This window comes from Homo sapiens, chromosome 16, assembly GCF_000001405.40.
Source record: "Homo sapiens chromosome 16, GRCh38.p14 Primary Assembly".
Taxonomy (NCBI): Eukaryota; Metazoa; Chordata; class Mammalia; order Primates; family Hominidae; genus Homo; species Homo sapiens.
Genome location: NC_000016.10, coordinates 58,022,595 through 58,047,141, shown reverse-complemented (window position 1 = coordinate 58,047,141; position 24,547 = coordinate 58,022,595). Strand labels below are relative to the sequence as shown.

Here is a 24,547-nt window from a genome sequence, read left to right as displayed (position 1 = left end):
GCAGGGTGACCCCAGGTGCCCTGCCTCTCCCTCTTCTGGACTCTTGAGGGCAGCCCTAAGCTCTGCCCCTCCCAGGGCATAGTTTCCAAGGGCCATCGGGAAGGAGCCCCCATGGAATTGGAACAAGGTCTCCTTGGCATTGAGGTCAAGCCCCCTAACCCTAGCATGGGCTGGACCCCCACCACCTGCACGCCCTTCCAGCTGGAGGTTCCAGCCCAAGGCCTTACAAACAAGGACACATTTGCCGGCTGTACAATTTATTCAGTGCACATTATTTACAGAAATAAATGTATGGGGGTGGACACGGAACCCCCGCAGCCCCACCCCTTAGCTGGCTCTCCGGTTCTGCAGGGGGCAGAAGCTGCCGGACCCGCACTTGGTGCCAGTGCACAAGAAACCACTCGCAGAGGCCAGCAGAATCCTTCCCCCTCAAGTGCCTTGGGGATCCTGGGTGGCAGACTCCACTCGCTCAGGGCCATGGGGAAGTAGAGCCAGCTGTACAGTACCATTTCCCACAGCAGCCACGGCCTCTTGCTTGCTTTGGGAAGGAAAAGAGGAAGGAGGCATCTGTCCTCAGGGCTGAGCACAGGAGGGCAGCCTCTTAGGCCACAATGGGCTCCTTCGTGGGGTTCACAGTCTGATGCGCGGCTGGCCTATCCCCACCAGTGTCTCTCCTCCCAGGACCCTGGGGGCACAGGGAGCTGGAGGGGAGGAACCCCTCATGCCCAGTGCCTGACACTGTGGGCACCCATTCACGGCCATCCACTGCCCAGGCCTAGGCACCCACCAGCCCCCTCTCCCTGGGGCTCAGGACACTGGCAGCTGAAGCCCAAAGGAGCTGGAGCTCAGACCCCTGAGGCTAGTGGTGTGAGTCGGAGAGGGAGGGAGGAGGCACAGGGAAGGAACAGAGGGTTCTAGCTCAGGGAGGCATCTCTGCCAGGGGCGAGGCTGCTGCTTCCCTGGGGAGAGGGGCCCTGGCAGACTCCCTTTGGTCCGTGGTGAGGCAGGCCCAGGGCCCTTTCTCCAGAGAGGGAAGGAGGTGTGGGCCCAAGGGGAGGTGGGAGCTGGGGGCTGCTGCCGGGGGTGGGCTGGGTTCTCTGGCACAAGGAGCCAGGGTCACTGAGGCTGTCAGAAGTGGACTGCGAAGTCCACTGGATTGGGAAGGAACCAAGCCTCAATGGGGACTCAAGGGCCACGGCCCACCTCCCTTCCAGGTCCCCTTTGGCCTGGGGCTGCCCCTGGGTGGAAGGCTCTTCCTAAGGCCCAGAGAGACTCACTTGGGAAGGAGGGGACCAGGGGGGCCAGACAGTCTCCAACTGGGCAAAGAGAGCCTGGCAGTTACAGCCCTGGGGTTCAGGCTGAGGAGGTGCTGCTCTTCCAATGTGGGCCTCTGCCCCTCTGCTCCCCTGGCTGTGGCCAAGCCAGAGGATGATGGGGGCCTAATTCCCTGTCTGGAGCAGAACTACATTTAGAAAATTCTAAACACCCTGCCCCAGTCGGGGAAACAGAAACAAATGGTCAAGTAAGGTGCCAAAAACAAAACAAAACAAACACCTGGACATAAATAATGAGGGCGGGGCAGACAGGGTGTGTGAGGGCTGAGAGGGGCCCCTACCTGGGGGCGGAGGGAGCCCCTGGGAGCCATCTCAGAACCACAGGCGCCCCCTGAGCACCGTTAGCAGGAGCGCTGGGTGGTCAGACCCACTCCTGCAGCGAGCGCTTGCAGTAAAGCAGGACACGTGGCGCACCCTTGCGCTGCATCTGCACCAGCGCGTAGGTGAGGCCCAGGACGCAGAGCAGCAGCAGCAGTGGCACCAGCACCATCACCACGTTCACCGTCCGTGCCACCTCCTCCATCTGCACCACCACGCGGCTGCCCCCGTCCTTGTTGACCCCGGCCCCAAAGTCCCCATCCCCATCCCCCACGTCGCCCTCTGCGCTGTCCGCCCCGGGCTCTGCACCCCCGTGGGGGTTGAAGGGCGGCCGGGCCACGTCGGGCCATCGGGGGCCTGGCTCCACGTGCTCCTGGCAGCCCATGAAGTCCCGCAGGATGGACTTGGGGTAGCCGGGCTCCATCCGCAGGCGCTCATTGTCGAATTTCCAGTATTTGGTGCCCTTGTAGAAGTAGGTGTAGGCTGCAGGGGCAAGGAGGCCAGAGTGGCTTCAGGTTGAGCCGAACCACCAGTGAGAACCATCAAAGGCCAGGACATGCTGAGGGCTTCAAAACACCCTTCTTCTCATTTGCTTCCCTGAGTATTTTCAAATCTGCCCCTTCTCAACTTGCAGGAGCCAGACTGAGGCTCAGAGGGCTTTGGGCTAAGGGTACGACTAGAACCCTGGGCTTCCTGACCAGACTGACATTAGCTGGGGAAGGGCCTGGAAGGGTCCTATAGCCTGCTGGGTTGGGGGCTGCAGTCAGGGATCCTGCTGCCCCTTCCCAGAACTGGCTTCACCTCACACCACAGAGGTTTGGGGTCTTGCTCAAGGCCACACAGCACCCCGCAGTTGTTCTAGAGCGGAAGGAACCTGGTGCTGCCTTGGGCTGGCTCTCTGACCTTGGGCACCTTGCCAGCATCCCATCAATACCAGGCAGGGCCAGGTTTCAATCAAGGGGTGAGCACAAGAGATCAGAGCGGCTGCAGAGTGCCAAGCTCACATACAGAAGCTGTGTAACTGGCCTGAGCACTGGCAAAGCAGGCAAGGTCCCCCCTGAGTCACCCAGGCTGGAGTATAGTGGCGCGATCACAGCTCACTGCAGCCTTGACCTCCCAGACTCAAGTAATCCTCCGACCGCAGCCTCCTAAATAACTGGGACTATAGGTGCAAGTCACCACACCTGGCTGATTTAAAATTGTTTTTGTAGAGATAGAGTCTCACTATGTTATTCAGGCTGGTCTCGAACTCCTGGACTCAAGCGATCCTCTCGCATCGGCCTCTCCAAGAGCTGGGATTACAGGCGTGAGCCACTACACCTGGCTGGTTTTTCTTAAATGCACTAGAGACCTTGCTAGAGAAACAGAAGAGGCACAGCTCCCTGTCTCTTGGTTATAATGACAGAGACAGGGCTTTCCTTGTAGGTAGATGAGTGATGCCCTGGGAGGATTTTCACCCCTAACACTCTGAGCCAAGCCTGCCCCACTCAGGCTCAAGGCTCCCCTGGGATTGCCTGGGGGTGGCTGGACTCTGTGGGCATCAGGGCAGTTCCAAGCTCCAGCTCCGGACGCAGGCAGGACTGGCCTGGAATCCTGACGCCGCACCTTCCTGGCTGTGGAATTTGGGGCACTCTGCTCAAGCTCTCTGGTTTATTAGTTTGCCTGTCTGTAAAAAGGGAATTTTAACTATGCAGGAAGGACCAGGGTGTCAAGCTAGGTAAGCTCCCAGCCCAGAGCGTGACACAGCTTGTCACCCATACACACCATCACAGTGCCGGGTGACCTTGGGCAAGCCCTGCCCTGTGGTGTGTGTAGCAGGGGATATTAGGTGCTGGGCAAACTGGGAGGGGCTGGCCAGGTACCTGCGTCATTGCTCAGGAAGGCCCCTTTAGGGGAGGCAGGGATCCCCTGCCAGACACTGATGGGCTTGGGGTACCCAGGGTCTCCACGCTGTGTCTCCTCGTTGAAGCGCCAGTACCTGTGAACAAAAGCACCAGGCTGTGGACCTAGAGATCCTGCTTGGGCCAGGACCCGTTCCCCACAGGCAGTGGATTCTTTCTGGGTAGGCCTGAGGTTGAGGGGGGCCTAGATGGGGCCTTCTCCCCTTAGGGGAGGGACGCACTGCTCACCTGTCCTCTTGGAAGAAGAAGGTGTGGCCTGTGGGCTCCCACCAGATGGCCGTGTCAATGCGGTCATAGGGGATGCCCAGGCCATAGCTGGTCAGCGGCTGTGGGTAGCCGGGCTCCAGGTTCGCTTCTCGAAAGAGCCAGTAGCGGTCACCTACAGGAGGGGTGGCAGGCACAGTGAGGTCAGGCCTGGGGCTGAGGGGTGTGTGCGGGAAAAGAATGCTCTTCTGGGCCCACAAAATCACACTCACACCCCTCTACATATTCAAGACAACATACAATGAGGTCACCCGCACATCACATGCTGCACTCATGGATACCTGAGGCACACTTGTTCCCGTGAGCAAGAGTCACCCGCTCACACCCATACACGCCACATGCCACCCACAGCCCTCGCTTCCATGTGCACATCCACCCCCGCACATATAGTTCTTGTATGGGGAGGGGACTGCCTGGCCTCTGGGTCTGGGGGCTGTGTCCCTGGAGCACACCTGCAGCCCTCACAGTGTGTGGCCCAGGGCTCCCTGCTTTTAGTTTGGTGCCAGCCCTGTCCTCAGGGAGCTCCTGCCTCACTGAAGCTCAGGACAGTGGGGTTAGAGCCCTGGTGGATCCATCACGGGGCGCTGCCCTGCAAGACCTCGTCTCTGCAGACAGACCACAGAAATCTGGCCCCGGAGTGGGCTGGGGGCACCTGTTCTTATGAGGATGGGGCTGCAGGAGGCAAAGAGGCAAGGACAGAGGGAAGCAGGGCTGAGCCCTGTGCTGCACAAGGTGGCCAGGCACTTCCGGGTTGCAGGTCCAACCCTGCCTCCAGCCTCTATCTTCCTCCCGTCCTGCCTTGCTGCTGTGTCCTCATCCTCCCAGAGTGAGCCCACAGTGGGGGCACAGGACCAGACATGCAATGCAACCCTTCACCTCCTCTTCTCTCAGATCCAGCAGGGTCAGAGGTCATGGCAGGAGGCGTGCCCAACCCTCTAACCCTACCTCTGCTCACCTTTGAAAAAGACAAAACGACCGTCTTGGCGCTCGTAGGCAGCACTGATGTCACCGGGCAGACCACGCCAGAAGTGCCCGATGGGCATGGGATAGTTGTCCAGGACGCGGTTGTGCCGGACTCGCCAGAACCAGCGGCCCTGGGGAGGGCATAGTGTGAGCGGGCAGCGCAGGCAAGCTGCCTTGGCCGGGAGAGGTGCCATCCTCAAACCACCCCTTCCCAGGTGAGGGTGGGCCCAAGGGGAGGACACTGAGATACTGAGGCAGGCAGTGGCTTGGAAAGCCAGGGCTGCACAGAAACAGAGCCCTGAGCTGGGGAGCTGGCACCAGGGCTTGCTGTGTGACCCTGGGCAAGTCCCTCAACCTCTTGGGCTGGATTCCTCCCCATCTAGAGCTGAGGGCTTAATGGCTCCCCGGGGCCTGCTGAGTGAGGGTGGGACAGGGGGCCCAGAGCAGCCAGGGAAAAGGCTCAGGGCCAGGCATGGGAGGCGGGGCCAGACCTTGAACACGAACATCTCCCCGCGAAGCATGGCCACTGTGTCAAAGTCCCCGTCGCAGATGTTGGGGCCATACTGGTCGGGCCGCTCTGTGGCTCGGGGCTGGACTGGGGGGCCCGGCTTTGGGGGCCGCTCTGGCTTCCCACCTGGGGGTGGTGGCTGGGGAGGCCGGGGCGGCCGGTGGTCAGGCCGGCCTGGCCGCCGTGGCGTCACAGTGGGGAGAGGCTGGGTAGGCTGTGGCTGACCGTCTGGGGTACCTGCAGAGAGGCAGGGGTTCAGAAGTGAGGTCTGTGTTCCTACTCAGAACCCTGGGCCCCGGGGCCCCCAGCACAGGCCCACCCACGCGGAAAGTAAAATCCTGTCCATCTACAGCAGACCCCTCCCCAACACCTGCCTCCATCCTCGGTGGGACCTGGGTCCTCCTCCTTCTAGCCCCTCCTCGATCTCCCCACACTGACCTTGGGTCACTGTGCTCCTGAGGGTGTCTGCCTGCATGTCCCCTTGGGGACATTCCCCTTGGGATGCCAGCCTGCTCCAGCAGAGGCTCCAGGCCCTGGCTTCAGGCGTTTTGGACTCTGCATTTCCAAGTTGCTGGGGATGCAGCAAGGGGTGCCCGTCAAGTGCCCAGCACGGCAGGAGCTGCCAGCCCCGAGGAGGGCTCGGTGTGGGCACAGAGTGCAGGACTTGGCCCACCGAACTGGCCCAGGGGACCTCACTGCTGGAGACTTTCTCGGGTGGGCCCTGGGTGGGGGGGTGGCACTTCCTCAAAGCCACTGGGAAGTGACAAACCAGCAGCACTGTGGACAGAGCTGTGACAGGCTCAGGCTGGGAGTGACGGTGGAAGGGGGCGGGTCCTGGGATCCCCCAGGCACTTGTGGTCTAGTAAGAATACTGCCAAGGGTGAGGAGGAGAGGAGGGTCATGAAGAACCTGTGTCCCTTCAAGGCCTCTAGCCTGCAGCCACAGCCTCGAGTGAGGCCCAGGCCCTGGAGGCAGCCTGCCCTGGGTTTCATTTCCAGTACCACCATTTATTCCCCAAATGATGTGGGCAAGTCACTAATCCTCACTGAGCCTTGGGTTCCTCATCTACAAAATGGGGATGGCAGCAATGCCTACTCCTCATTGGCCAGGGACTTGAGAGCGGCATGCAGAGCCCGCTGGTCACAGCCCACGCACCGTAGAGCTGCTGGATGCCACGGAGATCGTCCTCGGGCAGCTTGAAGTTGTCAACGTCCTTCCACTGGTAGAACGGCGCCATGATGGCATTGGGGTTGCTGGAGTGCTCCAGCCCCAGCGCGTGGCCCAGCTCATGCACTGCCACCAGGAAGAGGTTGTTTCCTTTTGGGGAGAGAAGGAGGGCAGCACAGTCAGCTGTGGCCAGTCCCAGGACCCAATCACCCTGGACCCTCCAGGCTGAGGCTGCCAGAGAGCCTGCCCTTGCTTCCCTCTTGGAAGAGGCTGAGCTCTTTCGGCCTACAACAACCCCATCTGAGAAATGGGTACAATCATCCTTTCTCGCCTCCCCTTGGAGATGGTGGGACAACAGACTGAAATTGAGTGTAGTGATCTGGAGACAAACACAGGGGAACTCTCTCCTCCCAGCCCCGCGGCTGCTGAACCCACTCAGCAGGGTGTTGTTGCCCAGCTCCGGGGCCACCTGCCCTGCCCCTCACCCTGGCCAGCTGTCCTCACCATGCAGGTCAGTGCTGGAGAAGGTCCAGGGCTCATCTGCGTCAAAATGGGTGTCCCCGCCTAGGCCGGGGCCAGGGAAATAGGCGTGGGCCAGAAAGCCACCGGTGCCATCAAACGGCGAGCTGTCGCCGTGGAAGCCAGAGGCAAAGAGTACCATGATGTCGGCCTCCTTCTGTCGCCGCAGCCGGATGTCCTCATAGGGCACCTCCTGGAAGACCAGGGGCGTGGCCTGCTCCCACACGCGGAAGGCCCTGCGCACCGCCTCCATCGAGTGGTACCAGCCCAACTTCTCCGTGTAGTTCTGGATGCTGGGGGTGGGTGGGAGATGAGTGAGCGGATGCAGGGCCAAGGGCCTACTATCCTCTGCTGGCATGTTCCCAAGAGTGCACGCAAGGTCACCAACAAGCCCGTCATTATCAACTGGCAGTTTGCTTTGATGTAAATCATAATTTGAATTTGTCAAATCCAGGAGATCATGAAGATATCATTAAATTAAGATTGCATTGTGGCAAATAAACTGATTTTAAGTAAGAGAGACATTAAGTAAACTAAAATACAGGTGCTATGTGGCTGGGGGAAAGACCTAGAAAATGGGATGCAAATGAGTGAGGTTTGGGAAACAGGCTGAGCAGTTCTCAATGTTGAGCTCCAGGGTCAGGCAGACCTGAGTTCAAGGCCTGGCTCTAACAGTATCTGTGTGACCTTGGGTAAGTGACTCTCTGATTTCCAGTTTCTTTCCTTCTTTCTTTTTGAGATGGAGTCTTGCTCTGTCACCCGGGCTGGAGCGCAGTGGCGCAATCTCGGCTCACTGCAACCTCCACCTCCCGGGTTCAAGTGAGTCTCCTGCCTCGGCCTCCCAAGTAGCTGGGATTACAGGCATGCACCACCACACCTGGCTAATTTTGTATTTTTAGTAGAGACGGGGTTTTTCCATGTTGGTCAGGCTGGTTTCGAACTCCCGACCTCAGCTGATCCACCCACTTTGGCCTCCCAAAGTGCTGGGATTACAGGTGTGAGCCACTGTGCCTGGCCGATTTCCAGTTTATCTGTTAAGTTAGAAAAGAGTGTGTGTGTGGTACTTTCTTCACAGGGTTCCAGTGAGGATTAGAGGAAGTAAGTTGTAGCCAGAGACTGCATTTGATGACGTATGGTGAGGCCTGCTCTTACCTATATAAATCAGATTCAGCTCTGTGTGCTAGACATTAAACCTGAAGGGAATATTTTAGCTGGTTGGACCTTGAATTCACTCTGGGGGCTTGAGGTCTAAGTGACCATGGGAACCACTCTTCCTTGGGAGATGGAGCTTGGAGTCAGGACAGAGCCAGACTGGAACAAGAAGGGGAGCCCTTGGGGACAACCACATGGCTCAAGGCACACTTGGCTGGAGGGTTTTCTTGCTCAAGAACTCAGCAAAAAGGATGAGGGCCCCTGATCCAAGGATTCTGCAGGTGACTTGCTGCCTGTTCACTTGATGGATGCCTGGATTCCTGCACCCCAGCCATCCCCCATCCCTTGCTGCAGTCTGTGCTGGGGCAGTAGCCCAGCTGTGCCCAGTGAGGCCAGCCCCTGCCTGCAGGGAGGTGGGGGGTGGGGAAGGACAGGGTGGAAGTAGCTTGAAGTGTCCTGACCTTCCCTCGAGGGAGACTGCCTGGCGTGTGTGGCTGGTCTCATCAGCGTGAAAGCGGGCTGGACTGTTAAGGCTGGGCGCCGAGGTGGGCTCTGGGAAAGGAGGTCTGAGGCTCGGCCTGCCGAGGGGCAGATGCTTCCCTGGGCAGCTGAGCCCCCTACCTAAAGGTCAGATGGTGGTTGTTCCACTTCCTCCCGGTGAGGGCGTAGCGCTTCCGACGCCGCCGCAGGTTGGCTTTCACTCGTACCCCGAACTGGTCTGGCACCCCACAGCGGGGCCGCTTCATCCACCTGGGACATGGACACAGAGGGGTGAGCACGGAGCCTCCCCTCCACACACCTGCCTGTTCTGGCACTGCCACTTCCGCCACTTCCGGGCTTCCCAGCCGCCCCTCCTATGACACAGTGGGGATGGGGGACTCTCAGCTTCAACTTCCAGTAAAATGGGCAAAATGCCTGTATTGGAAGACTGAGTGCCCAGGAGTGGTTCAGTCAAGGTGAGCCCTTCTCTCCTTATCACCCAGTAATGGAGGGTTCGCTCAAGGCCTTCTGTCCTGGATACGTTATGCTCTGTGCATTGTTTTCAGGGACATGGCTTTAGGTCATGTCACTTGTTAGATTCATAGCCATGCCTAGCTACGATTTCCCTTCCACAGCTCCTGTACTGTACCTCCACACTCCCCTGGCCATGTCAGACATCACTAATCAATCACTGTGCTTCTTACTGCTAAGGCCTGGATTCTGCCCCTGGAGCTTTCTCAATACAAGGCTTTGGGCAGCCACTCCAACCAATCAGAAGTGACATGGAGGACCAAACCATTTGGCATCTCTTATCTAGGCCACTCTTTTCTGGAAACTCCACATGCTGAGCCCTCTTGAGAGCAGGCCAGATGGAAGGCAGGTGCCTGTGGGGTGTGGATGGTGGGGGGAACTCACTCCTTGGTCTCTTCGTCGAGCACACCGGTGACTGGGATCCCGTAGAAGCGCTGCATCTCTGCAAGGGCCGAGGCCAAGATCTGGGCGGAACGCATGGTGGACATATGGCGGCTGGGCTGAGGCAGGTAGCCATAAAGCCGCAGCCAGTTCTGCAAAGAAGCCGCAACTCTGTCAGCAGGTCCTGGCACTGCTACCTCCAAACATGCACAGCCTGTGCCGACCACTTCCCACCACCTCCACCACCGCTGCTCTATCTGAGCCGTCATCACCTCCTGCCCAGGTGACCGTGTGAGCCTCAGCACCCTCCTCCCTGTCATCTCTCCTCACATAAGAGCCAGAACAAAGGCCAGGTCAGGTCTGGTCAATCCTCTGCTTAGAACCCTCTGAAGATTTCCCATTGCAAAGGAAAAGCCATTTGTACAAGAGCCACAAGGCCCTCACTGTCACCCCACCTTAGCTGGACCTCACCACCATCCACCCCAGCCGGGCATGCTCCTGCCGCAGGGCCTTTGCACTTCCTGCCTCTGCTGCCTGATGCACTCTCCCGCCAGACAACTGAGAGGCTTTCATCCTCATTTTCTTCAGGTCGCTGTTTCAATACCACCTTATCTAAGAGGTCTTCTCTGACACGTTAAAAAGGCCCCATCAGCTATACCCTGCACCCCCTCCTTCCTCCCATGCTTATCACCCATCTGATGCACTGTACATTTCAATTAGGTGTTTGCTATTTGTCTTCCCCCATTAGGACAGAAGCTGTGTCCACAGTAGCTGACAACTGCACTAGCCCCTCTGGGGTGGGCCCCTACCAGGCCAAGGACCCAAAAGGATTCAGGACCTCTTGAGGCCTTACTCTTTGGCACTGCTCCCCAAAGACCTTAAATCTCCTGGAAGGAGTAGACAGATGCAGGTACCCATCCAGGCTCAAGGGCAGGACAGAAGCCTGAAGCCCAGTCCCTGCTCTGCTACAAACTCTTTATTCTCCCTGGGCCCCAGCTTCCTCACCTATAGAATGGGGAACCATGGGCTGCTGAGGGGTGAGGTTTGAGGAAAACAGCCTTGGAAAAAGCTGGTACACAATGGGTGTGCCCTTCCCTTTCTAGGGCTTGCTTGGCAAGTCTTCTCATCCATCCACCACCCACCCTGCCAGATGTTTCTCAACACCCTCTGTGCCAGCTGGGGGCCATGGGAGGACTAGGCTGAGGCATCCTGGCCTTCAGGAACTTACAGTCTCCCTGGGAGACCCAACACACCTACAAAACAAGGAACCCACACCCCACAGGTTGCACGGCCAAGCCAGAGGGCAGAGACAGGCCGAGCTGTGGTAGAGAGGGGATTCTGCCCTGCCTGCTTCATGTCCTCAAGCCCTCAAGAGCACGGTGACCGCCATGGGAGGCAGTGAGCAGAGGCCAGGGGCTGCCCTGGACCTTGGACACTGCAAGTGTCTGTGTCTGACTTGTCTGGGTCTCTGGGGGTCTCCAGAGTGAGAAGCCCTTAAGGCTGGCACTCTGAGTGCTCTGGGAGGTGAGGGCTGCACCCCGAGGGCCCAGGCAGCAGGGCAGTAGCTGGACACGGTGGTTGCTTTAGGCTGACAGCCATATTGGCCGGCCAGATCACACTCACATATCTGCCTGCCACCAGTGTTACATCTAATACCTCAGGCACCTGCTTTCTGGTACCATCCACCAGCCCAGCCCTGGCACCCGGCCAGGTCCCTGGTGTGGCTGGGCAGGCCAGCTCAGTGGTACCCAGGCTGCCAATAGACGGAGCAGCTGCTGACCCAAGGAGGGGCAGCATGGAGAAGCTGCCAGGGTCGCAGACTGGATGCGCAGCCACAGCTTTGAGGCCTCTCAGGACCCGGGAAACAGCCCCAGAGCAATGAGGTGGAAATGCAGAGCTGAGAAACCACCACCAGCTCTGGGGACAGGTGGAGCTAGGCAGACCCTGGCTTGGCTATTTCCGAGGTGTCACTCCACCTCCTTATCTCTGTCGGTCATCAGTAAAAGGGGGATTGCACCAGGACCTGCCTCATCTCCTGGGTTCCTGTGAGGAGGAATCGTAAAGTGCATGCTAGTGCCTGACACCACCCTGTGCAGCAGATGGTGCTCGACAAACGTGCAAATGACAGAGACCAGAGGCCTGTGTGGTTGTCCCTGGGGCAGGCAGCCTTCGGCCTCCTTGACCCATCATTGACCAAGAAGGCTGATGGGTCTGGACTTCCCAAGACTGGTGATGGGCCAGGCTCCACCAGGACCCCAGAGTGGAGGGAGGCAGGAGGCCCCTAGGGCCCCTCCACTAGCACTCCTCACCTCTGGCCCAGGGCGCATTCCCACAGCTCAATAAGATACTGGCAATGTCGTGGGTACCCTCCCTGTTCTTCCCAAGCACGGGAAACCTCTCCCAAGGCTCCTGTGCTGGAAGGTGTGGAGCAGCAGATCCACCATCCTTAAAGGACAGTTTCCCTGAAGGTGCTTAGGGAGATCTAGAAGGCGAGGCCATGATGCTCAGCCAGCTCTAACGGCAAAGGGAATGCAGCTGGAGGCCGGGGGAGTGGCGGGGGACTGGCTGCCGGCAGATGAGGGCACCTCTACATCACCTATTTGCATAAGGTAAAAATATCTCTGGGAGCGCAATCATGGGCCATGGAGGGGCTGATTAGCGGTATCTGCGGAGCGACAGGAGGGGAGGGTGGGGGAGGATCAGGCTGGGGCCCTGGGGAGGAAAGCAAGGGAGCTGGCCTGTCTGCAGTGAAGAGCTCCAGAGACCGGCAGAGGGGCCCCTTCAACCCCGGGGCCAGCTCAGGGGCTGCCAGGAGGGTCCCAAGGGCACTATGGACCCTCCACACAGAGAAACAGTATTGAGTTCCAGGGAAGTCAAGAGCTTCCATCTCGCTATCAGCCAAGCTTGAACCCTCAGCCACCTGGGGTGAAGAGCCAGAGGCTGAGGATGGGGGCACCCCTTGGGCAGTGATTGGGGAAGCTGGGGGGTGGTAGGCAGAAACACGGCCTTGGCGCAGACCACTCAAACCTCTGGATAACAAGGCGAAGCTGGCAGAGCGTGCCTGACCGGTGAAAGTGTGCTCAGGGTGACTGAACGCCAAGTGCCCAAAAATCTGCCCGGGTGGCAGCAATACCACCCATAGGACTGTGAGCTTCCTCCTTTCCCCAGGGTCCAGGAAGAAGTTTCCTGGCACCTTCCTGCCACACTAAGTGGGACAAGCTCAGGGGAACACAGGAGGGAAGAGACAGCAGGGGGCGGGGACGCGGGGGTGGGGCCAGAGGTGCTGCTGCCTGCAGGTGGGCAGCGTGGGGAGCTTGCTGAACTGCTCTGCTGCCACTGGGCAAAAGGCGCAGATGAGTCCCTAGGTCATGACTCGCAATCCCAGTGTTCAAGCCCTTGCTGCTCCTCCTGGTGACTGTAAAAACTGTCCCTAATACAAGGAATCTCTTCCTGTCACCTAGAGTCACAGGTGGGGTGAGCCAAGCGGGTGAAGCTTTGCTTCTCAAGTGAGGAAACTGAGGCTCAGAAAGTCTTGTAAGTGGCAGAGTACGGCAGAATTTGAAGCAGGACTTGGTTTCTTCTGCCACCAAGGCCACTGTCCAATGGGAGGGAAGGAGAGCTCTGGGGCCATGAGGGCCCCTCCCTTCTGCAGCTTCGGGTGTGGGCTGCTGTGGGGGGCACCTGCCACTGTGGTTCTCTCAGCCATTTCTTTTCTTTTTTTGAGACGGAGTCTCGCTCTGTCACCCAGGATGGAGTGCAGTGGCATGATCTCGGTTCACTGCAACTTCTGCCTCCTGAGTTCAAGCGATTCTTCTGCCTCAGCCTCCTGAGTAGCTGGGACTGCAGGCATGTGCCACCATGCCCAGCTAATTTTTCTATTTTTGGTAGAGACACAGTTTCACTATGGTGGCCAGGCTGGTCTCGAACTACTGACCTCAGGTGATCCGCCTGCCTTGGCCTCCCAAATTGCTGGGATTACAGGCGGAGCCACCACGCCTGGCCAATTTCTTTCTTGACTTCCAGACCCCATCCCATTCGTATTTATTGACACTTCAGGTAAGTGGCAAGGAGATATGGGCCACCAGGAGTCAGAAGGGTGGTTCCTGGCCCCTGGCACACAGGAGAGGTCATAACCGCAGCACCTGAGTCTGGCATGGGCCAGCCACCCATTCCAGCCCCCACTGAATGCTCACAGCCACTCCTGAAGGGTAGATTTGTGACCATTCCCATAATACAGACGGCAAGGTTCAGAGATAGTGAGTGCCTCACCCAGGGTCCCAGAGCTGATCTGGGCTGGAGCTGGGGCTATCGGACCAGGCTGCTTCTGAAGTATCACCAGCTCCTCTTGGCCTCAGGCTGGGGACACTGGACCTTTCTCAGGAGCAGTGCCCAGCACAGCACGGGGAAGGGTGCCTAATCCTCCCCACACCCGACATCTCCGGCCGGGTCTGGGCGCTGGGCCATCTCAGTCCACCCTCCCCCACTGGCTGCTGAGAGGGTTGGTGTAAGAAGCCACTAGATCAATACTGTGCAGTGAGCAGCCGCCACGGTGGGGGAGTGGGAGTGGGGTGGGGGAGGGGGCAAGCGTCTGCTGCAGCCGCCCCAGCCGGCCCTTCCAGCTCCTCCAGCACTCAGATCTGTGGAGCTGGCCGGCAGCCCCCTCCCCGGGGCCCTTATCAGACCCCAGGCGATAAGGACACTTTCCACTGGGCTCTGCTTTGTCTCTGTCACCCAGGTTCTGTCTGCAATCTGAGCAGACCCAGGCAGAGTTGCCCAGCCAGGCACAAAAGAAGCCTTGTCAAGGCTGCCAGCGATGGATCCAGCCCCCGGACCTTTTGTGGCCTTGTGAGGTCCTTACCATGCCCATCTCCCCTACCCTATAGTCTTGGTATGGAGGGCTCTAGGGAGCAGGCCAAGGCTGTGCCCAGCTCTGTACTCCCAGCCACTAGGCACAGAGCCTGTGCTGAATGGGATGAGTCCTGGAGGAGCCAGGGAGCTTGCAGAAGGCAGAGTGCACACTCCAGGCCCACAGGGCCCACCTGGATCAGCGGACCTGAGCCAAGAGTCCATTCACCAGCTGGGTGGCCCCAATACCACCAAGCCCAGCCACCCGCCAGGCCTCTACGGACTACAGCTGGCCAAAAACTCATCAGCCTGTATCCTGCAGACAGGGGGCGCTCACTGCCACTCAAGGCCCCCCATTCTCTCTCTGGACAGCAAGGACTGTTAGCTCTTCCTCAGGCTGAGCGGAAGTCAGCCCCCGGAAGGCTGCCCCTTGGTCCTGACTGCTAGTCCACACAACAGGCCTCCCAGCAACGGAAGACGGCTAGGATAACTTTTCTGAGCCTTAGTTCCCTCCTCTGCAAAATAGGGCCAAGATCATCACTCCGACCCACCAAGCAGCGTTGAGAGCGCCGATGGCGCAACTACCCCCAAGGCCAGTAAAGAAAGGTGGCATGGGCAGGGCATGGCAGCTCACGCCTATAATTCCAGCACTTTGGGAGGCCGAGGCGGGCAGATCACGAGGTCAGGAGACTGAGACAATCTGGCTAACACAGTGAAACCCTGTCTCTACTAAAAATACAAAAAATTAGCCAGGTGTGGTGGCAGCGCCTGTAGTCCCAGCTACTTGGGAGGCTGAAGCAGGAGAATTGCCTGAACCTGGGAGGCGGAGGTTGCAGTGAGCCGAGATCACGCCACTGCACTCCAGCCTGGGCCACAAGAGCGAGACTCTGTCTCAAAAAAAAAAAAAAAAAAAAAAAAAAAAAAAGGCGGCATCGAGCCAGGTCCTCCTTGGAGGATTGCTCACTACCTTTAGAGGCAGCATGTTCCACATTTCAGCAGTTCTAGGACACACATGCTTAGTCTGGGATTAAATCTGCTCCCTCCCATGGGTCTTTAAGCGAGTTGCAGGTGGGGGCTGGGACTCTGGGTGGTGGGGAAGTCCAGCAGGAGAAGCAGGAAGGAGGAAGACGTCTTGAGGTCTGACCACTTCTTTACCCAGCAGCCTTCCAGCCTGCCCCACACTCCTTAACTTGGAGGAAAAAACAACCGGGTTCCCTGGCCAGCGCGCGGGGTGAAGAGGCCTCTGTTAGCCAGGAGTTTCGGGCCTGGCTGGGGGCCCGGCCTTGGGTCCTCACCTGGAAACCTCCCTGCAGGTGCTGACTCCTAGACGGGGCTGTCCACAGGGCAGAGCTTGGGTGGCTGGACAGATGGGGGCAAGGCTGGGTGGGCCGGGGGAGGGCTTTTGGCTCACACAGCTCAGGCAGCCCTGGCTCCACCTCAGAAACCTCTTTCCCACCTGGATCGGGCCCAGCAGAATTCTGCCTGGTGGAATTTCCACAGGATGGCACCCTAGGCTCTGACCTGTAGCCTTCAACCCCGCATGGGGGTTGGGAACTTGGGCTCCAGGCCAGACTGAGCTGGGTTCAAATCCAAGCTCTGCCACTCCCTGGCTATGGAATGCGGGGGTCATTTCTCTCAACTCACAGTATTAGTTTCCTCTTTTGTAGATTGAGTAATGACAGCATCTACACTTGAAGAGTTAATACAAGGATTAAATGTGAAAACGCTTACAAAACATCCCTAGTCTGTGTCCACAACAGACACAAGTATGTTGAAGGTGCTCAAAAATAACACCTGCGCCTCCTTAGGCCCCCTGTGCCAGGCATTGTGCATAGCGTTTAGTGTTTTGCACATAAATGCAATGAATCTCCCCGTAACTCCATCAAGCAGATAGACCATTGCTATTCCCTTTTTATAGAGATCTTGAAGTTCATACAGATTCAGTGACTTGCCCAACAGTAAATGCCATTCGCTTCTGTCACTGTTTTGCACTATTTTGCCAGGGAGGCTCTGGACACAGGGTGTAGGCCACCGTGTTGTGCACTATGTATCAAGTGCCATGCTCAGAAACGCTGAACGTGGAGCTGGACTCTCACCCCTACAGGGTGACAGTCACTCCTAGGGGAAGGACAAGGCAGTGCCAGTGCCAGTGCCCTGGAGAGGTGATCTAGACCTTGGCCTGCATCACCATCGGCCGATGGCAGCAGGATGGGGGGCATCTCCAGGGGCTGGCTAATGGCTGGTACCAGGGGCTTATCCACCTGTCCTGATACTGGAGGCTGAGTTGGGTCTCTTCCCACTTTTTCTTCCATTCCCACGAGGGCCATGGGATTAGGGAAGAGGCATCCCTCTTTGCCTCTGGGATCCAGGCCCAGCTCCATGGCCTCTGGTCTCAGGAATCCCTGGAACCTGTGTCTGACTGTGGAGCAGCCCTATCTGAGCCGTCACTCAGAGCTGTCCAGCCAGATGGTGCCTACTGTGTCTCAGGTCTGGAGCATTCAGCCGCCTTCAGGGTCCCGGTCCTCACACTCAATGGTGGGCTTCTCCCAGGACCCGCTTTGTAAAGGAGAAAGATAAGGGCAGAGTCCACAACCCCTCTCTGTCTTTGCTGACTCAGAAAACACATCTCCAGGACCAAAGCATTGCTCCTGCTGGAGTGTCCAAGACAGGGAGCCACCTAAGCCTTGGGATGATATGGAGGATACCCATTCTGATTTGATCTGGAAAGTAGTGGTTCTCATAGTGACCACCACAGCTAGCCTGAGGCAGAGGTCAAACTCCCAGCAGGGCAGAGGTGATGATGGAAGGGATCATCTGGACCAAACAACAAAAGGGCCACAGAGGGACAGCAGAACAAACCGCTCGGCAGGGAGGGGCTTTTCCACGCCTGCAGTGTAGCCATCCTGAATGGGCATAAGAGATAGCAGTGGGCACTGGGCTTTTGGGGAAAGTCTTCTTTTGGGGGTGGGGATAGCGTGTATTTCCATGTTGCTCCTCTCCACATTCATGGATATCTTTTAAGTATCAACATCCCTTGGGGTGGGGCAAAGGAGGTATTTATGTTCAGAGGTCACAATGGGAAGGTCAGGCCAATACACTGCTCAGACAAGGAGCTTACACTGGGCTGTTCTCTGCAAGGAGACAGATGACTGGCTGGACCCAAGGGCAGCCCCAACTCGGAAACATGGCAAGGGCTGGGTGTGAAGGGCATGGCCCAATGAGATCTAGGTCCCTGGCTGTGCCAATCAGACCAGTTCTCTCTGGGTCTTGACAGAGCATGGAGAGGAGTGATTTACTACTAGCAAGAAAACAGAGTAAAAAGCAGAGACAAGAGGGGAGGGGGAGAAGATTCAGCTTCTGCAGATTCCCAATGACAAGGCCCCGCTATTAACTCCCTTTTCTTAGCTGGTGGGCACAGATGGCATCTGTAGTTTTGCTCTGTTTAAAAGAAAGAGGGGACCAGTGGGGCCCCCCCGGAGCCAGCATGGAAGTGCTAGTAGAGACTGAAGCTAAGGAAGCCCAAGACTGTGGCTCACCTGAAGGTCAAAATGGTAATTCACGCTGACCCCCTCCCAACGCCCCCACCCCCGCTGCCTCATCTACTCAGTGGCTGGGTAGGGGCTAGGAAGATACTCGTGGGCCTGTTGAGGAAAGGCGGGTGGATCGGTTTTGGTGGTGGTGGCACCACCCCTGTGAACTCTGGCAGCCTGAGTCACCTCCACAGAGCAGGCTGAGGACCTGAATTGTGCCTGGGAGGAGGGGGTAGGGGGAGGCAGGTGAGATAAGAGCTCCCCCGGTGAGCCTGGAGACTCTCAGCCCTGCAGGGCAGGAACAACAGTGAGCACCTCAGCCAGGTGGGGATCTGGCCCGGAATGGCTACAGACTGGGATTGGACATCCAAGGGAGAATGTGGGATAGGACGTGGCAGCTCAGTGGTGGGCTAGGGCCTGGCAGGTTGCAGGTGTTTGTCAGTTCCTAGCACATGCCAGGCTCCTTGATGTCTCAGCCTCGTGAAAGTCCTGTGGCTTCCACCCTGGGAGGGGAGAGAGGAAGTGGAGAGAGGCTGGCCTTGGCTCAGCTGCCAAGCTGCTCCGAGAAGGTCCCAGCTGTGACCCTACTGGAGGCCTGAGGCTGTGTGGATGCTGGGGTGAGGATGAGAGAGCCAGCCTTCTCCAAGGAAGGGAGGCTCAACACAGGGTGTAGGCCAGGCCCAGGAGTCTGAGGCCACAGCCCCCGGCAGATGGGCTGGCTGCTGAGGCCATTTGACTCTTTGGGCCCACATGTGGCCAGACCTGATGGGACCCTAGAAGCAGCCTGTACCCAAAGCCAACTGTAGGAGCTGGGACACTCCACCTGTCTCTAGCCCTCTATCTGCATGGCTGCCAACATTCAAGGCTCCTTAAACCTTCCGGGGTCTCTTCCAGTCACTGCCCAGGTCCAACCCAAGTGTTTCCCCAGGAGTAGGGCTCCAGGACAGTCACAACCTCCAGATCAGGAGCACGGTTTGTGATAACGCAACCATGGCTTCTTCCCTGGCGGCATCGAGCTGTGGGCACTCCCTGAGCTGGGGAGTTGGGGTAGGGGTGAGATGGAACTGGAAAAGCAGAAGAGAGAGAGAGTGAAGCCCCTCCAACTACAGGTCCCTGCACCCCTGAGCTCCTGGCCAGCTAGGATGCCATTAGCAATGCACGGCCATTGAATTCCATCACTGCTTCCTATGTATTGACGCCATCCCTAAGTAGATTAGAAACTCAATGGTGGGACTGTGACTTGAAATTCTTTGGCACTCCAGCCCAGAGTGGCAGGTGGGCCCAAATGGCACTCTCCGCCCAGTACTTGGGTCACAGGCTGAGGGGTAATCCTCACCAACAGGAGCCCCCTAAAGCTCCTCCTGCCTGTGTGAATGGGGTGGGGGAGGGTGGCCAGACTGGGTCGGGGCGGGGCTCCTATCCTGCCTCCCACCAGGGCCTGGCTCCTCCTTCAGCTCTCCCTGGCCAGGCCAGGGAGGGAGGGCAGAGCAGGTGGGGAAATGGCTGGGAGGTGTAACTCGAGCCCAGGAGGAATTCCCTGCCCTTCCTCTATGCTTTTATTAAAGTAGGGCGGGGAAGGGCAAGCTTCCATCGGAAAAATCTCCCAGGCAGCCCGGAGAGGTGGGAAAGCCGCCGTGGGCCAGGGAGGGAGCACCAGCTGAGCTGCAAATAGAAACGGCGCTCAGGCCCGCAGCCCGGGCAGCCCAAGGGCACCAAGGCCTGAGCACCGTTCAGAAGCGGCTCCGGGGTGGTTCTTTCTCCCTACTCCCCGCCCAAGTCCTCTCCCCGCCTATCTGGGGCAGGGCGCAGGTCTTAGAAGTCGGGGAAGAGTGGACCCTGCTCTTGCTCTGGGGCAAGAAAGCTGGCGCCTTCGGTGTCCTCGCTCGGGAGACACCATGGAGCTGGGGCGCTGGCTGGACTCGGCTCTACGCCGGGATGTCGCGCCTGGTCACCCGCGGGACCCATCCAGAGCGGGGCCCCGGGAGGGACGCCAAGCGGGCTCCTAGCGAAGAGAGGCGCGGGGTCCACCCTCTCGAATCCAGGGCTTCGACGTAGGGGCGCTGTTGGGAGGAAGCGCTGTGGGAGGCAGGGTCCGTCCTTAGGACCCCGCCCGGGCGTGCCTAGGCTTCCTCGCAAAAGCGCAGAAAGTCGCCAAAGCGCCCCCGCAACCCGAGTCCGCTGCCTCAGCCGTTTGCACCCATCCCCCCGCCTCCATCCTGGCCCGCCGTGCGCGGCTCGGTATCACCCAGACGGGAGGCCACCTGGGCAGGAGCGCAGTTGCCCAGCCGCCCAGCTCTTGCTCCGCCTGTGGCTGTCCCCGAGAGCAGCCCCCTCCCCACTCGCAAAGAGCGCCACTGCGCGCCAGCCGGGCTCTCGAGGAATCGGCTGCCCTGGAGGGAAGGAAGGAGGGGAGGCAAGGGCTGGGGGCGGCGGAAGCGGCTCCCGGGACACAGGCTGAATGTAAGGGGGTCGGGGTGGGGGCTCAGTGCCCAGAACAGGGCTGTAGGAGTAGCGGGGAGGAGAGCGAGGCCCTGCGCCCTCAAGGGTTTGCGAAGAGGTGCGCTGCAGAGGGCGAGCTGGGGAGGGGCAGACTGCCAAGTCCGCTTGCTTCCCCGCCACGGCCCAGAACAGGGGGCGCGTCTCCGCTCCCTCCACCTCCAAGTCCCAGCCTGCGGACGTGGCGCCTCTCCCTCCAAGCCCCCAGCCCGCAGCCAAAGGGCAGGGCGGGGGTCTTACCTCGGCATGGACCTCCGCGTCTTCGGCCGCTACGCCAAGGCCCAGGCAGCCCAGAAGCACCAGGAGCAGCGGCAGCAGTCGCGGCCGCGCCGCCTCCTCCCGGTCGCCGAGGAGGCTGCCCGTCCAGCCCGGCCGTCCGGGCGCGCTCGGGTCGCTGCCCATGCTCTCGGCGCCCAGCCCAGCTCGGAACACTGCACGCCGGATCCTCGCACGCGCCTTGGAAACTTGCGACGCTCCCTGGCTCCTGGCCCGGCAGGCGCGCCGCGGACCTCGGGCTCCCGGTCCCCGCCGGAGCCGCCTAGGTCGCCTCGGCAAATTCCCAAGCCCGAGGAGAAGCGGGCAGGGCAGGTCCGGGAGCTCGGAACCAGCCGGCGGGAAAGGGGGCCGACCGGAGCTGCCCCCGGCGAGGTTCCGCAGCCTCGGCGCCCAGCGCCTGGGGCCCGGCTCCCGAGAGCAAGCGCAACTCCGGAGCCTTTGTCTGGCTCAGCGCTCCGGCCGCCCGGTCCCGCGGCGCTCCCTGCGCGCCCAGCTCCCTCTGTCCATGCCCGGGGCCGGGCGCTGCCCGGAGCGCGCGCCTCCTGCACGGGGATTCTGCTCGCCGCCGCGCCCGACCGGGCCCGGGTCCCCAAGCAGTCCCGGGAGGAGGCGCAGGGAGCCGACCCGAGAGAGCGAGCGAGAGAGCAAGCGAGCCAGCCAAGGAGCGGGCGCCCGACGTCCCCGGCGAGTTCAGCGCGGCTCCGGGCGCTCCCAGCCCTCCTCCCCGCGCGCCGCGGCCGCCGCGCTCTTAAAGGGCCAGTGTGCTCCCAATGCGCGGACCCGGGCGGGGACCGGGGGCGGTGCCCCAGCCGCAGGCTTCTCACAAGCAGGTGCGGGCGGCCGAGGCCCGACAGGTGGGCGGTCCGTTTACGCTTCCCAGACGGCAGGAAACCTCTCCAGCCCACCCCGCGTCACTCCCAACCCAGCGCCTAGGGGGCGGGGGTGACCTCCAACGCGACCCCCCGCGGAGGGAGGAGGCAGGGAAGGCGTGGTCTCCCCGCCTGGGAAGAATGAAGACTCCTCCTTCTCATACCTGGTGGGGGATACCGAGGCCTAGGCGGACGGGAAGGAGGTCTTAGGGGAGGGATCAAAGAGTCGTTTTAGGCTTAAATATAAATATATATGTATATATGGATATTTGTCAGCCTGAAACCTCTTTTCAAAAGCCGCAGGGTGTCTCTGGCCATTGAATAACTTTCCTCAGTAGCAAAGTGAGGGTTTTGTGCGCGTCGAGGGCGCGTTGCGGCGGACAAGGGGCAGGTTTAGGAGGGACACGGTTCAAGTTCCGCGTCCGCCCCTTAGCTGCCGCTTGCACGTGGGCAAATTAATCTCTCCGAGCCTCCATGTTCTTATCGGGAACGTGGGGCAAAGAGTTGGGGTGAGGGCGAGGTAAGACTTCCGGCTCCTGGCCTGGCGCAATAGGTGCCCAAGCACTTTGGCCACTGGCTGGTGCGAGTGAAGTGCGACAGTGCGGCCGGAGTCGGCGCGGGGCGGGTGGACACACCTCCCCGCGAAGCTTAACGAGCTGGATTTCATTCTATTCCGGAAGCAGCTTGAGGTCGGGGCGGGGTGGATGCAGGAGGCCAGAGCTGGGAGGCCCGGGTCGAAGGTCCACCGAGACCCGGGGACCAGGCCAAGGGCAGCCCTGGCGCGGCGGACTGGCCGGCGTGGTCAGTGGGTGAGGGTTGCAGGCAGGAGGGCGGAGACCGAAGATAAGCTGTTCCTTATCTTCAGACCCGGAAATGGAAGCCGTCCTCACCTGAGGGCGGTTTTCTCTAGAGCAGGCCCTCGGGGCACCCTAGCCGGCCTCACCTCCCGGAAACTGGAAATCAGGAGACCTGGCAGAGTGCCTTAGAGAGGGCGCGTTTGAACCCTCCTGGGATGTCCTTGGGGAAAGGAAGTCGGAGTTTAGAGAAAGGAACCGGGCGATTCTATCATTTCCACGGACTCACTTCTCTGTGGGATCCTTCATCTGGGAAGTTGGTTTCTAAATTCTCCACTTCGAAATTTGCTTTTGGGAAATGTGCAGTGGTCTTCAGACACGGACAACGGGGTTGTCCTTGTTTAACCGACCACGTCGCACTCTTTCATGATATTTAGTCCCGATTAGCCAATTTTAAAAAGTTTGGGGCTAGGTAAAGTGGCTCAAGCCTGTAATCCCAGCACTTTGGGAGACCGAAGTGGGAGGATTGCTTTAGCCCAGGAGTTCAAGACCAGCCTGGGCAACATGACAAGACCCCATCTGTACAAAGAATACAAAAATTAGCCAGGTGTGGTGGTGTACGTCTGTAGGCCCAGCTACTTGGGAGGCTGAGTTGGGAGGATCACTTGAACCCAGGAGGTTGAGGATGCAGTGAGCTATGATCATGCCGCTGCCCTTCAACCCGGCTGTCAGAGCGAGACACTGTCTCAGAAAAAAAGAAAAAAAAAGTTGGGGTTTAAGGGGCTAGCTGTTAGTGAGAGGAGCCCAGGAATGAGTGGAGCAACGTTCTTTGAGGCCTGGGTCGGTCAAGTCTGGTGATTTTCTCTCTGTTGGAGGTTCCTCTCTTGGGGTCCAATCCTGCCTTAAGGAAATGACATCCCCTGTGACCAGATCTTGAAGCTCCCAATTATTGGTTCTGGCTCCTATAGGTACTTTGGGAGTCCAAGGTGGATTTGCATCTACATCCAACCCAAGATAGCTGGGTTTCTACTGGGTCTGGACAGCACCCAAAGCCCGAAAGGACTAGTCAGTGGGACTGAGATGTGTGAACTGCAGCCCTTCCATCAAGTAGCTTTAAACCTTATCCATATTTTGCCAATACCGTTTCATCTATGCCCTGACACCCCCGCCCACCACCACACACCTTTTTTTTCTTGGTCTTTTGAATGAAAGCCCAGACATGGTGTTTCAGAGCAGTTTCATTTAGAGGTCCCGATGTGGTGTGAGGGATTGTAAAAAGCTCTGGATCAGAAGCCAGGTCCCTGGGTTTTTGCCTCAGCTGTAATTTACTGGGCAATCCGAGCAAGTTATTCCCCTCTTTGGGTTTGTTTCCTCATTTGCAAAAGGAGAGTTCTGAGGTCGTAGGGGAGGTCTCCTGTTCAGTGAAGGAAAGTAGCTGTGGGATGGAACTAGGCCCAGGACACCCCCTCCCCCAGCTCTCCCCTCCAGGGGCCCCTCGGGCGATGCACCCACCCGACCCACCATCAAAGGTGAAGCAGGCCTTGGGACTCTTCGTGCCAAGACAAGGAATAAACAAACAAGCCAAGGTAATTTCCCTCTCCCTTGGAAACAAAGCTGGGGTGGTCTGGAGAGGCGCTGGAGAGTGCCAGGTGGAAATCAGCCAAACAGGCGTGAGATGATTTCCCTGCCCTGCGGGGAACATCTGAGGACACCGAGGCCAGATGTGTTGATTTTGTACTCTCCCTGGTGCGATAAAATCCTCATCAAGAGCATTTCTTTGGGCCAGCCTCCCTGGGGGGGACCGCAGCCTTCTCTGGTCTTCCCTCTGTCTCCAGAATTGTCTCCCATGTTTCTCCTCTTATGGAGAATCTCCTGTTATGGAAGAGCCCCGGCTGCTTCTGCACTGTCAGCGGGAGCGCTCGCTCAACGGGCTTACTCTGCTCCAGAGGCACACTCAGTGTCTGGGTGCCCGCCAAGCTCCTGCCGCCAGCCTCCTCCTCAGGCCCAGCCTGCCCACCCCTCCCCCTCAGCGAGACTCCTGCTTCCTTCCTCCATTGCCACCTTCCATTCTCCATTGAGGAGCCAGTTATTGATCTTGGCCCATTTCTCAAAGTTGCTGCACTCAAATTCCATCCTCAGCACAGACAGACTCCCCAGCCACATCCTCCCCCAGGGGAATGGCCCAGTCCCTCTTCCTGGGCTTGTTGATGGAGGCCCTA

The 24,547-nt window shown here is 59.0% G+C and overlaps 1 protein-coding gene across 1 annotated transcript, besides 6 other annotated features; it reads right to left on the bottom strand.

Annotated features, from left to right (window-relative positions):
- Window positions 1-240: 240 nt before the first annotated feature.
- On the bottom strand, window positions 241-21,388 carry MMP15 (matrix metallopeptidase 15). The gene is made up of 10 exons (NM_002428.4): window positions 20,630-21,388; window positions 9,522-9,670; window positions 8,748-8,876; window positions 6,960-7,267; window positions 6,444-6,605; window positions 5,272-5,525; window positions 4,773-4,911; window positions 3,782-3,932; window positions 3,515-3,630; window positions 241-2,135 (listed from the first exon to the last, which is right to left on the bottom strand). Exons 1-10 carry the CDS (start codon window positions 20,789-20,791, stop codon window positions 1,696-1,698), a joined length of 2,010 nt encoding a protein of 669 aa, NP_002419.1. The 5' UTR covers window positions 20,792-21,388; the 3' UTR covers window positions 241-1,695.
- Window positions 19,724-20,273: an enhancer, noted in NCBI's record as "H3K27ac-H3K4me1 hESC enhancer chr16:58060773-58061322 (GRCh37/hg19 assembly coordinates)". NCBI's record gives its function as "activates a minimal SCP1, AML or CMV promoter by ChIP-STARR-seq in primed H9 embryonic stem cells {active_cell/tissue: H9 hESC(primed)}" and the evidence as "EXISTENCE:reporter gene assay evidence [ECO:0000049][PMID:30033119]".
- Window positions 20,824-21,373: an enhancer, noted in NCBI's record as "H3K27ac hESC enhancer chr16:58059673-58060222 (GRCh37/hg19 assembly coordinates)". NCBI's record gives its function as "activates a minimal SCP1, AML or CMV promoter by ChIP-STARR-seq in naive H9 embryonic stem cells {active_cell/tissue: H9 hESC(naive)}" and the evidence as "EXISTENCE:reporter gene assay evidence [ECO:0000049][PMID:30033119]".
- Window positions 20,824-21,379: a biological region, named in NCBI's record as "H3K27ac hESC enhancer GRCh37_chr16:58059673-58060222".
- Window positions 21,240-21,379: a silencer, noted in NCBI's record as "silent region_7542". NCBI's record gives its function as "represses an Ori minimal core promoter by ATAC-STARR-seq in GM12878 lymphoblastoid cells {active_cell/tissue: GM12878}" and the evidence as "EXISTENCE:reporter gene assay evidence [ECO:0000049][PMID:35858748]".
- Window positions 21,606-22,191: an enhancer, noted in NCBI's record as "H3K27ac-H3K4me1 hESC enhancer chr16:58058855-58059440 (GRCh37/hg19 assembly coordinates)". NCBI's record gives its function as "activates a minimal SCP1, AML or CMV promoter by ChIP-STARR-seq in naive H9 embryonic stem cells {active_cell/tissue: H9 hESC(naive)}" and the evidence as "EXISTENCE:reporter gene assay evidence [ECO:0000049][PMID:30033119]".
- Window positions 22,192-22,779: an enhancer, noted in NCBI's record as "H3K27ac-H3K4me1 hESC enhancer chr16:58058267-58058854 (GRCh37/hg19 assembly coordinates)". NCBI's record gives its function as "activates a minimal SCP1, AML or CMV promoter by ChIP-STARR-seq in naive H9 embryonic stem cells {active_cell/tissue: H9 hESC(naive)}" and the evidence as "EXISTENCE:reporter gene assay evidence [ECO:0000049][PMID:30033119]".

Coding starts and splice junctions, on each gene's coding strand:
- MMP15 (NM_002428.4), bottom strand. CDS start 20,791: ATGGGCAGCGACCCGAGCGCGCCCGGACGGCCGGGCTGGACGGGCAGC. Junction 8,877..9,521: donor CTCGACGAAGAGACCAAGGA/GTGAGTTCCCCC, acceptor TCCATGTCCCAG/GTGGATGAAGCGGCCCCGCT. Junction 5,526..6,443: donor TGGCATCCAGCAGCTCTACG/GTGCGTGGGCTG, acceptor GCCTCTCTGCAG/GTACCCCAGACGGTCAGCCA.